The sequence below is a fragment of the Homo sapiens genome, chromosome 13 (genome assembly GCF_000001405.40).
Source record: "Homo sapiens chromosome 13, GRCh38.p14 Primary Assembly".
NCBI lineage: Eukaryota > Metazoa > Chordata > Mammalia > Primates > Hominidae > Homo > Homo sapiens.
This window is the reverse complement of record NC_000013.11, coordinates 19,408,251-19,421,126: the sequence shown is the minus strand read 5'-3', so window position 1 is coordinate 19,421,126 and position 12,876 is coordinate 19,408,251. Positions and strand designations below refer to the sequence as shown.

The 12,876-nt window shown below is 43.0% G+C and overlaps 1 pseudogene; it reads right to left on the bottom strand.

The window, feature by feature from the left end:
• SLC25A15P2 (solute carrier family 25 member 15 pseudogene 2) lies at positions 5,695-5,859 on the bottom strand (annotated as a pseudogene).

The following is a 12,876-nucleotide window of genomic DNA, read 5'->3' as shown; positions in this document are numbered from 1 at the left end:
CATGTGTAGGCACAACATAGGTTACACTATTTCCTTTAAAATTCACACAGCCATAATCTACAGAGGGCAGATTATGTCCTGGGTTTAGGTGAATAGGGAGGAAAATACTTAGCTGGCTCAGTGAAGATTAAGATCTGTCTTTTTCAGTACCAGAAATACAGGAAGGAAGGAAACCCCCTTTTTTATTTTAAGAATTTCCCTTTTTGAAATAGAGATTACCAGTAAGGTTTCTCTTCCCCAGACCTCCAAGACCCACCAAAATTTCTGGAAATTATGAGTTGTCACACTATTCTGCTTTCGCTTATTCAAAGAAAACTCATTTAAGGCCTCTTTGGGTATTGCTTTCTTAGAATGCAAAATGAATGATTCTTTGAAGAACTCAAGAAACTTAGATCAGAATGATACTCATGTCTTAAAATTTTAGCTTTAATTTTAAATATAGGGGGTATGTGTGCAAGTTTGTTACATCAGTATATTGCACCCTGGTAGAGAGCATAGTACCCAATAGGTAGTTTTTCAACCCGCAGCCCTCTCCCTCCACCCCCTCTAGTAGTCCACAGTGTCTATTGTTCCCAACCTTATGTTCAAGGATACCTGTTGTTTAGCTCTCATAAGTGAGAATATGTGGTATTTGGTTTTCTGTTCCTGCATTAATTTGCTTAGGATAATGGCCTCCAGCTCCATCTATGTTGCTGCAAAAGACATGATTTTGCTCATTTTTATGGCTGCGTAGAATTCCATCGTGTATATGTACCACATTTGCTTTATCCAATCCACCACTGATGGGCACCTAGGTTGATTCCGTATCTTTACTATTGTGAATAGCACAGCAATGAACATATCAGTGTGTGTGTCTTTTGGTAGAATGGTCTTTTTTCCATTGGGTATATATCCAATAATGGGATTACTGGGTTGAATGGTAGCTCGTTTTAAGCTCTTTGAGAAATCTCCAGACTGCTTTCCACAGTGGCTGAACTAATTTACACTCCCACCAACAATGTATAAACGTTCCCTTTTCTCTGCAGCCTTGCCAGCATCTGTTGTTTTTGACTTTTTATTAATCGCCATTCTGACTAGTGTGAGAGGGTATCTCACTGTGATTTTGATGTGCACTTCTCTGACAATCCGTGATGTGAAGCATTTTTTCAGATGCTCATTGGTCACTTGTATGTCTTCTTTTGAGAAGTATGTGTCATGTTCTTTCCACATTTTTAATGGGGTTATTTGGTTTCTGCGTGTGGATTTGTGTAAGTTCCTTATAGATTCTGGATATTAGACCTTTGTTGGATGCATAGTTTCCAAATGTTTCCTCCTGTTCTGTGGGTTATCTGTTTGCTCTGTCGATCATTTCTCTTGCTGTGCCAAAGCGCTTTACCTTTATTAGGTCCCACTTGTCAATCTTTGTTGTTATTGCAACTGCTTTTGGGGACTTAGTTAAAAATTCTTTCCCAAGGCCAATGTCAAGAAGGGTATTTCTGAGGTTTTCTTCTAGGATTTTTATCACTTGAGGTCTTACATTTAAATATTTAATCTATCTCCGGTTAATTTTTGTATATGATGAAAGGTATGGGTCGAGTATCATTATTCTGCATATTGCTAGCCAGTTACCCCAACACCATTTATTGAATAGGGAGTCCTTTCCCCATTGCTTGTTTTTGTCAGCTTGCAATATCAGGTGGTTGTAAGTGTAAGGCTTTATTCGGGGTTTTCTGTTCTGTTCCATTGGTCTATATGTCTGCTTTTGTACCAGTACCATGCTGTTTTGGATACTATAGCCTTACAGTTTGAAGCCTCTGGCTTTGCCCTTCTGCTTAGATTTGCTCAGGCTGTTGAGGCCATCTTTTGGTTTCATATGACTTTTAGAATACTTTTTTCTAATTCTGTGAAGAATGACATTGGTAGTTTGATAGAAATAGCACTGAATCTGTCAATTGCTTTGAGCAGTGTGGCCATTTGAATGATACTGATTCTTCCAATCCATGAGCATGGAATGTGTTTCCATTTAATTGTGTTATCTGATTTCCTTCTGCAGTGTTTTGTAGCTCTTGTAGAGATCTTTCACATCCTTTGTTAGCTGTATTCCTAGTTATTTCATTTTCTTTGTCGCTACCATAAATGGGATTCTGTTCTTGATTTAACTCTCAGCCTGGACATTATTGGTGTATAGAAATGCTGTTGAATTTTATACATTGATTTTTTTATCCTGAAACTTTGCTAAAGTTGTTTATCAGTTCTAGTAGGCTTTTGGCAGAGTCTTTCGTTTTCTGGATATAGAATCATATCATCAGCAAAGAGAGATAATTTGACTTCTTTTCCTATTTGGATGCCTATTCTTTGTTTTTCCTGCCTGAGTTCTCTAGGTAGTACTTCCAGTACTATGTTGAATAGGAGTGGTGAGAGTCGGCATCATTGTCTTGCTCCATTTCTCATGGGGATTGGTTCCAAGTTTTGCCCATTCAGTAGGTTGGTGGCTGTGAGTTTGTCATAGATGGCTCTTATTATTTTGAGGTATGTTCCCTTGATGTCTAGTCTGTTGAGGTTTTTAATGTGAAGGGATGTTTGATTTTATCAAAAGCTGTTTCTGCATCTATTGAGATGATGATATGGTTTTTGCTTTTAGTTCTGTTTATGTGGTGAATCGCATTTATTGATTTGCGTATGTTGAACCAGTCTTGCATCCCTGGACTGAAGCCTTCTTGATTGTGGTGTGTTAACTTATCGATGTGCTGCTGGATTCTGTTTCCTAGTATTTGGTTAATAATTTTTGTGTCTATGTTAATCAGAGTAATTAGCCTGAAGTTTTCTTTTTGTGTGTTTCTCTGCCAGATTTTGGTATTAGGCTGATGCTGGCTTCATAGACTGAGTTAGGGAGGAACCCCTCATCCTCAGTTTGGATCAGTTTCAATAGAACTAGTACCAGTTCTTTGTACCTCCAGTAGAATTCAGCTGTTGCTTCATCTAGTCCAGGGCTTTTCCTTGTTGGTAGATTTTATATTAATGATTTGATTTTGGAACTTGGCATTTGTCTATTTAAGGTTTCAATCTCTTTCTAATTCAATCTTGGGAGATTGTATGTTTCCAGGAATTTATCCGTTTCCTCTAGATTATCTAATTTGTGTGCATAGAGTTGTTTATAGTATTCTCTGAGGATCTTTTGTATTTCTGTGGGATTGTTTGTAATGTCATCTTTGTCATTTATGATTGTACTTATTTGGCTCTTCTCTTTTTTTCTTTGTTTAGCTATCAGGCTATCCATCTTGTTTATTTTTTGAAAAACTAATTATTGGTTTCATTGATCTTTTGTGTGGATTTTTGTATCTAGTCTAAAAAAAACAGCACTTCAAAAAGCACTTCATTCAGTGCTTCTCTAATTTTAGTTATTTCTCTTCTGCCAGCTTTGGAGTTAGTTTATTCTTTTTTTCTAGTTCCCTTAAGTGCAAAGTAGGAATGTTAATTTGAGATATTTCTAACTTCTTGATGAAGGCATTTAGTGCTATAAACTTTCCTCTTAACACTGCTTTAGCTGCATCCCAGAGATTCTGGTATGTTGTGTCCCTATTTTCATTAATTGCAAAGAATTTTTTTATTTCTGCCTTAATTTAGATTTTCACCCAGGAGTTATTCAGGAGCAAATTATGTAATTACCATGTATTTATGTAGTTTTGAGAGATCTTCTTGATACTGATTTCTATTTTTGTCTCACTGTGGTCAGAGTGTGTGCTTGGTATGATTTCAAACTTTTTGAATTTATTGAGGCTTGCTTTATGGCCAAGCATGTGGTTGATCTTAGAATATGTTCTGTGTGCACATGAGAATGTATCTTCTGTGTTTGTTGGACAAAGTGTTCTATAGATGTCTATCAGGTCCAATTGGTCAACTGTCAAGTGCAAGTACAGTGTTTGTTAGTTTTCTGCCTCAATGATCTGTCTATTGCTGTCAGTGGGTTGTTGACGTCTCCTGCTGTTATTGTGTGTCTAAATCTTTTTGTAGGCCAAGAACAACTTGTTTTATGAATTTGGGTGCTCCAATGTTGGGTGTGTACATATTTAGGCTAAGTCTTCTGGTTGAATTGTGCCCTTTATCATTCTATAAGGAATGCTCTTCTTTGTCCTTAATTTTTATTGGTTAAAAATATGTTTTATTTGGCCAGGTGCAGTGGCTCATGCTTGTAATACCAGCACTTTGGGAGGCTGAGGCGGGTGGATCACGAGGTCAGGAGTTCGAGGCCAGCCTGACCAACATGGTGAAACCCTGTCTGTACTAAAAATACAAAAATTAGCTAGGTGTGGTAGTGCACCCCTGTAATCCCACTTATTCAGGAAGCTGAGGCAGAAGAATTGCTTGAACCCAGGAAGCAGAGGTTGCAGTGAGCTGAGACTGCACCACTGCACTCCAGACTGGGCAAGAGAGTGAGACTCCATATTTAAAAAAAAAAAATCAACCACTTAGAATAGTACACACATTAAGCAGATCCTACATCTAGAATGGGTTAAGCAACCATTTGTAAGCATCTTCATGAAAAACGATCACCTCTGGGTTTTTCTGGCAATATTTGAAATAAACATGGAACCAAACTGTATTTCCCTCAACACATAACTGTCCAAATTGAATGTGCAAGTAGAGGTTTATGTAAAAGCCCTGACAGAACTGTACTCAGTCTTTTGAATTAGGTGCATAAGCCTACTGACCACTCTCTATTTTACCAAGGGAAAGAGCAGTGACTTCTCTATTTCAGTACAATTATGGGCAGAAATGACATGATGCAAAATAGAGGTTCTTCCAAACAAGTTAAGATATAGGGTATAAGAGAAGACAGAAAGGCAAAATTCCCAAGAAATCAGAATGACTTCACGCTGGTCTTGTACTACAAGAAACCCTGAAATGAACTGTAGTCCTCAAACACCTGTGCTTGGCTCAGGCCCTCCAAGACACTTCAGTATGCTTCCAACTGGCTCATCATCAAATTCCTGCTATATTCATAGGCCAAAAAGAGTGCTCCATTGTCAGGGAATGCTCGAATCATGTAGGTTTCAGTCCAGAATATAAGGCCATTATTCCTAGAAGACAAAAGGGCAAGCAAAGACTGCAACAATCCCTCCTTTGGGGACACCCATGCAGCTGCATAGTACAGGAATATTTACACATGCAAATCCAGACAAGAGTGCTAAAAACCAACAAGTCATAGAAGGACGCATTCCCAGCTTTCCCTAAATAGACCAACAGAAACAAGGACAAGTATCAGGTCTCCTGGCAAAACTGACTGATGCTCATGTAACATACCCCAATTCCATGCTTGGTTAACTCTTAGTATATGGATGGGGCAGAATTGAGGCCTGAGATGGCCAGACAGAGGCAACCATGGAGACAGAGGTGGCCACAGCTTTGCAGCTTCACCTGGGCAGTGGCAAGAGCACCAACCTTGAGGTTGGAGACTGGTTTAAAATATTAGTACTGCCCAGGGTGGTTATGAAGATTGAATTAGATAAGGGAGGTATAAGTACTTTGTAAAATTTCACATGTTATACAAATTTAAGGGAGGATTACTATGAGTAATAGACAAGGTATCTGTGCTCTATTTGGGACACAAAGTTTCTGTGTTACTGTTCTCTTTCCTTTTACAATCAAAACAGAGAAGTTCATATCTCAGATTTTAAGATGTATAATAGATGCTGGAAAAACAGGTGTTTATTCAGCTTCATTTTTCACAACATTTATAAAGGTTCTGATAAATTCTGCCTGTTTTCCAGACATGGAAAGAACTTGAATTCTGGATTTGATACAATCCACTGGATATACCGCAAGCCAGAGCAAATCCCGCCAACTCCCTCCACCACTTAACATCAAAGGGACAGGGCCTAGAGGAAAAAAAAAATAGCAAATGGTATTTTATCTTAAGAACAGCTGATGTGACATTTCCAGAGTTCAATGCAGTAATGGCTGCAGGTAGGTGAAGATAGAAATGCTAATGCTGCGGAAGGGTTCTTTGTGGAAACTGTCAAAGCTCTTGTTCTCAGGCTCTAAGAACACAAGGTTTTGTTTGGTAGCCCAGGTCTATGTCTGGGTCTTGCCAAGTACAAGAAGCTCTAGTGAGGGTTGTATTTCGTTTGGTCACTGAGGTGTCGAGGGCTGGCCCACATGAACCAGCAGGCCTCCAGCTGACTGGCAATCCCTTACGGTGGGGGGAAGACATGCCAAACACAATCTACGTCTTTTTTTCTTTTTTCAACTTTCTCATTCTTAAGTATTTTAATAGCCCCGATTCTTCCTTTACCGTGTTTTTATTAAACATAGCAGGTAAGTCTGGGAGCTTGTCTAATCCCAGAATAGATTCAACATGCTGAGGGAGATGGTAAGAACAGGTAAATGCATTTGCATTCACAGCAGTGGGGTGTGATGGTGTTTGCTCCCTGCAGGTATGGTTTCTGTGGATTCTCTGCTCTTTGTGCTCTCCTCCCCACATTGGTGGCTCCATCTGGCACAGGGAAGCTTCTGGATGCCAGAAGGTAACATGTTGGCAGGCAGTTGATAGCACCCCACCCTCCAGGCTTGATAATTTCCTTAGGACAGGGGCTGAAGCAGTACATCCCAAACTCTCTTACTGGAATAAAGTTTGTTAATTTTTCTAGATCTATTTTAGAAGAGAAGAAATTCAGAAATGACTTTCCCAGTTGGGGAATCACCTATAAATAATCTTGAAATAAGCTTAAAACTTGGTAATCTCAGTGGCATTTTGAGAGCAGCGAAAACCATAGTTCTTTGTAGCTTATCATGTTTACTTGGTTGGTACGACTGCATGCGATGTTTGCGTCACATTAAGTGAGTGAGTTTTTCTTCCCTGATTCCCTGTCTTCTCTCCCCATTTTGTCCTTTGCTAAGGAAACTGAACTGAACTGAAGTCCAGGTCTTCTGTAACAGAGTGTCTCTCCTTCAACAGGGAACAACACTACAGTCGCCCATCGTTTTGCTTCTGTTCAGTCTCCATCGTGGCATGCCACACTCTCCTGGTTTGGGCCCTGCTCATTTCTTTACTGCCTTCCTGCCTGCCCTTTTTGTGCTGGTAGGTCATCCCATTCATGCTCAGCCCTCCTTGCTGTCTACACTGTCTTCTTGGGCAATCGTATCCAGTCCCAAGCCTTTTAAAAAAAACAAGCTATACCCATCCTGGTGGAATTCCTGCCTATAAAAGGGCACACCTTCAGACCTCCAGGCATCTCCAGTGAACACTACTATGCACAAGGAACCGAATTCAGTTGTGTGGAACCTGCAGCTGCAACTGGGTTTCAAACTCCTATTGCTGATGATCAAGTTAAAATACGAATGTGCTGGATTAAATGCTTCATTCAGCTTATCTGCATCTAGGTTATCTAAACTACGCAGCCACTTAAACCATTCTGTCACCTCTTCTCTTGGAATACTTAATTATTTTAATGTAATTCAGATCTCATTTTATCCTAGCCCAGCAGCACCTGGGAGAGAATGACCCTGAATTAATCATAGTAAAATCATATTAAATTATATTCCACTGATTCAGAATCGGAGATAATCTGGCAATTAAAGTGAGAAGTGTGTCATTCCTCTCCTGGAAGAAATGAACAGTAATGATGGGATCACAGAGATCGTACATACAAGGGCCCAATACACACATGCCCACCAGCAAACGGCTTACATACCAGGCTCCCAACCATACTGTTTCAATTTCTATCTTTCAAACTAACTGTGAATTACAAATGTGGTACCCAAATACCTGTATGCACATAAACAGGAAAAGGTAAACTCTTTTTTTTTTTTTTAGACGGATTCTCGCTCTGTCACCCAGGCTAGAGTGTAATGACACAATCTTCGCTCACTTCAACCTCTGCCTTCTGGGTTAGAGCAATTCTCTTGCCTCAGCCTCCCGAGTAACTGGGATTACAGGCGTGCACCACCACATCTTGCTAATTTTTGTATTTTTAGTAGAGACGGGGTTTCACCATATTGGCCAGGCTGGTCTTGAACTCCTGACCTCAAGTGATCCACCTGCCTCAGCCTCCGAAAGTGCTGAGATTACAGGCTTGAGCAACCTTGCCCAGCCAAAAGTAAACTTTTTAATTCCATCAAAATATGTTCTAGATCTTTGACAGACTGAAAGACATAAAATGTCAAAAGGTGAGACTCTGTCATGTGGCTAAACACCCTCCTACTGCAGAGACAGAACTGAGCCCAAGAGCATTCACGTGCTGGTGAGAGGTGGCCAGGGGCAGGCAGATGGTTGCACCACTCTCAGGGTCAGCATCTTCCCCAGTGTGGCATGGGGGAAGGGAGGGGGCACGGGGCCTGGGAGGCTGTAGCCTAAAGGCACACAGTGGGCAAGAGACTACTGGGCGGGCCCCTGCCAGCCTTCAGTTCCCTGAGCATCTGGTGCCAGGACGCTCCTTGTGGGCTCTGCCCTGGGAGAAGTGCCCTTGCCCAGTGCTCCTTATCAGTGTCTGTGATGCGCTGTCTCCAGTCCTCCTCATTAGCATACCTTGGCTGACCTCTGGCTCATGGAAAAACACTTTGCTCTTCTCTGAACAATTTCTTTTTCACAGCTGAGCAAATGACTGATGAGGTAACCACACTCATGACCATACTCATCTGTTGGTGGTGGGTGGGGGGTGGACTGGATGAGGACAGCATTGGGCAACACTCCTTCTGGCCTCCCCACTGCAGGGAGCCACAATTACTATGAGAGTCCTGTGGGAGGCCAGGGTAGTCCAGGGTTTCCCTTTGGGCAATCAGCTTTCCAACCGCTCCTCCTACTTCTGGCCCCAGGAGAACTAAATTACCACCATGCACTTCCTATTCCGCCTGTGCCTCAGCCCGAGGGTTCTGCTCTTCCTGCATGTTCAAGCTGATCTTTCTAGGGAGTAGCCTGCACTGTGCCAGCACTACCCCCTTGTCACAGGTAGCACCTCCCTGTGCTGGGGGAGCCTCAGTCTGCCCTTGGGCTCAGGCCCCTAGGCTCAGGTTAGCTGACATTCCCAGGAAATCCTACAACTTCTCCTTTCCTTTCATGGCTCTAAGACACAGTCCATTATCAGTCTCATTGTAAACGACACTTCTAAAGAGTGTCCTCCTTTCTTTGCCAACACTAGCAGGGACAGTAAGTGGTGTTTCCTGGGAGATGCTACGGTGTTATTTTTGCACTACAAGGGCTCTGAAGACTGCCAGACTTGAATTGAAGAACCATGTCACCTGCCTATCCCAGCCAGGTGACAGTGGACAAGGGGCTTCACCTCTGAGCTGTTTTCCAGCTGTACTGGGCACATTCCCCCCCTCACCCTGACTCACAAGGTGTTAGCAATAATGGACACTCCTCTACCTTCTGCCACACTCTGAACAACACTTCCATCAAATGGATTCATCCCAAAGGTAAAGCCCATCACTTCTAGAGGGAGAAAGGCAATGTTTTCATACCACTTTCATTTGATCTCATTTAGAAGGTACTTGAGGAATAGAGAAGACTGGGTTTTCTCTGGGATTATACTTAGGCATTTCTTAATGACTGGGACATGTTCTGAAAAATGTGTCATTACACAATTTCATCATTGTGCTATCATAGAGCATATACACCCGACCCTAGATGGCGTAGCCTACTCCACACCTAGGCTGTACAGTATGGCCTGTTGCTCAAGTCTACACACCTGTACAGCACGTTACTGTACTGGATACTGTAGGCAACTGTAACACAGTGGTATTTGTGTATCTAAATGTATATAAACACAGAAAAGGTATAGTAAAAGATGGTATAATCTCATGGGACCACCATCAGATACACCATCCATCACCAACAGAAACATGGTTATGAGGCACAGGACTGTACTTGCAGCCCCTGCCATGAGGTCAATGGCAGCCTGGATAGGGGGATTGGACTTCATGTTTGCCCACTCTTCTGCTGGTCTCATGGAAGGCAGCTCTCTGGAGCTTATGACAGGCACCACATATCCCTGGGGGGAGGCAAGAGTTCACCATTAGTCCAAGTCTGCAGCCTCCCATTCTCTAGGCCTGCAGCCAAATTACTGGACCTAAACTTCTGGGAGCCATGAACTGGGCTCTACATTGTTCCAAAGGAAAGGGGCTCAAGGTATCAGTGCGGCTTAGCAATTGTCCCTTAGAAAGCACACAGATCAAAAACTTCCCCTGCGTATCAATTCTACAGCCACCAGCAGCACTTCAACTGACCTTTCTGAAAACTGAAAAAATGAACACCAAATAAGTAAGCCAACCACAGATGTACTAACCCACATCAGGCTTGCTTTTTTAGAGGCCTGCACTGAGCCATCAACTGAACAGGCTCAGTTCTAAATCAGACAGCAGCCTGTGCTGGGTGCCTAAGGGGATGTCACAAGACAGTAGGTGTGGAAAGAAGCACCCAGGCAGCCAAGGGTGGGAGCTGCACCCCAGGATCACAAACGCCTTGGTGAATGCCTGCTCTACCTGCAGTGTGGCCCCTTTGGCCTCTACAGCTGGAAGTCTTCATCTGTACAAGGTGAATAATAAAAATATTATAAAACAAAGGCAGTCACAAATATCCACATTGGTGTTGAGGTGATCAAACCCAACACCAGGCCGTGGGGGCTACAAAGTCCGGCGGAGTCAAAGGAATGAGACAAGACAAGCTAATAGTACATAAAGTGGGTCCAGGGGGCCAACGCTAGTATAGAGGCTGTGAAGGCCTTGAACTCTGGGAGCCCACACCATTTATTGGTGATTAAACAAAGAAGCAGGTGGCGAGGATGTGCTGGTTGAAAGGAAGCAGTCACATCAAGTGTTTAGTTTACAGCTGTGTCAGTCTAGCATTTTCTTTGAAGCATATGGAACATGTTCTGCTACTCAAGATAATGTTGAACATTTCCTTCTACCTCAAGATACAATCAATTTATGATCCTGGGAGAGCAAGAAGCAAGGAGCCAGCAAGTCTGGACACATTCCAGAGGCCGTGAGGGGTTTTATGTACTGAGTCCTGGATTCCATCCAAGCCACGAGGGGTTTTATGCCCTGGGCTTAGGTTGTAGTGCAGTGGGGCAGCCTTCCACCCTTAAGCACAGAGCCTGGTGTTCCATAGGCCACAAGAAGTTTTAAACTCTGGACCCAGGACATGTTCCAAGGCTCTTTTCATATTATGTCAGATAGCAAGTCTTGCCTCAGCTTTTCTCCCAACAATTGGACTGATGGGTTGCTCCACTGGGCACAAGCATCATGGGTTCTTAAAACAAAGCCCTGAACAAGCACCAAATATGTTCCTGTCACCACATTCCACTAGCCCTTCAACTATAAACATGCACAGGAGTCACCTGAGGGCCTTGCTAATTAAAATGCAGCTTCTGATTCAATAGTCTCAAACAGGACCAGAGATTCTGCCTCTCTTGATGAGTTCCCGAGTGAGGCAGACAATGCCAGTCCACAGACTCACACTTTGAGATACAGCACCTGGGCCATTGTGTTCTAATGTGCTTGATAACCTGGAGCACCTATTAAATATCCAAGTTGCCAGGACTTTCTTCTGGAAATTCTGATTCAGTATGTTTTGTTTGGAGCCTTGGACATTTGGGAAAACTAGAATTTCTTTGTCTCCCTTTAGACAAAAGTCAACTACTGCTGAGGCATGGGCTTAATAAATGTTGACTAAAATATCCAACTCAACGACCAATCCTGTATAATTTTCAAACTCTGTCAATAACTTGCTGGGTCCAACCTGCAGACCCTGGCTGCATGACAGATGAAGAAATGCACTCAGACACAGGTATCCCATGAAAGAGTGGGGTAGGGGACCGGGCAGCTCCCAGACACTGAGGAGGGTGCTGTAAAGAGTCAGCAGGCACAGCCCTGTCAGGCTGGGGCTCCAGGCATTTATTCAGTAGAGATTTAATGACAAAGGTCTCAAGTAAACACCACACCACTAGAGGGTAATTAACATTGCTGACCTCCTGAGTAGAGAGCAGTCATGCGCCCGCAAATGATCAAAGGTCTGTTTTAGGACCACATGAGTAAACAAGCTATTTAGATAAACTCCTCCACCTTCGTATGTATCTACACCCTAAGCTTTTAAGAGAATTCAGCTGCCTTCAGCCAAATCTTTTACAGAAGCTATGCAAACCTCCCAGCCATCCAAGAAGTTTTGTGTCTATTTCCTACAACTTAATTTTTATAATTTCTCCCACCACCCTGACAGATCCCCTACAAAAGACCATGTTTCTTCTCAGCTTGCTCAGTCCAGCTGAGCCAGCTTTCCACTGGACTCCTGAATGTGAGGAGAACACAGGCTCCCAGGACCATCCAGAAGCATCTCTCATCACCATAAAGCTCTGAAACACTGGCTGGGTGCAGAGGCTCACACAAGTAATCCCAACACATTCAGAGGCTGAGGTGGGAGGATTGCTTGAGGCCAGGAATTCAAGACCAGCCTAGGCAGCATAGCAAGACCCCATCTCTACAAAAAGTACACCCCAAAATTATCTGGGTGTGGTGGCACATGCCTATAGTCTCAATTAATTGGGATGCTGAGGTGGGACTATTCTTTGAGCCCAGGAGTTTGAGGCTGCAGTGTGGTATGATCGCACCACCACACTCCAGCCTGGGAGACAGATTGAGACCATCTCTAAAACAACAACAACAGGCCAGGTGCAGTGGCTCATGCTTGTAATCCCAGCAATTTGGGAGGCCGAGGCAGGTGGATCACCTGAGATCAGAAGTTTGAGACCTACCTGGGCAACCTGGTGAAATCCTGTCTCTACTAAAAATACAAAAAATTAGCAGGGCATGGTGGCACGCACCTGTAATCCCAGCTACTCGGGAGGCCAAGGCAGAAGCATTGCTTGTACACAGGAGGCGGAGGTTGCAGTGAGCTGAGATCACGCC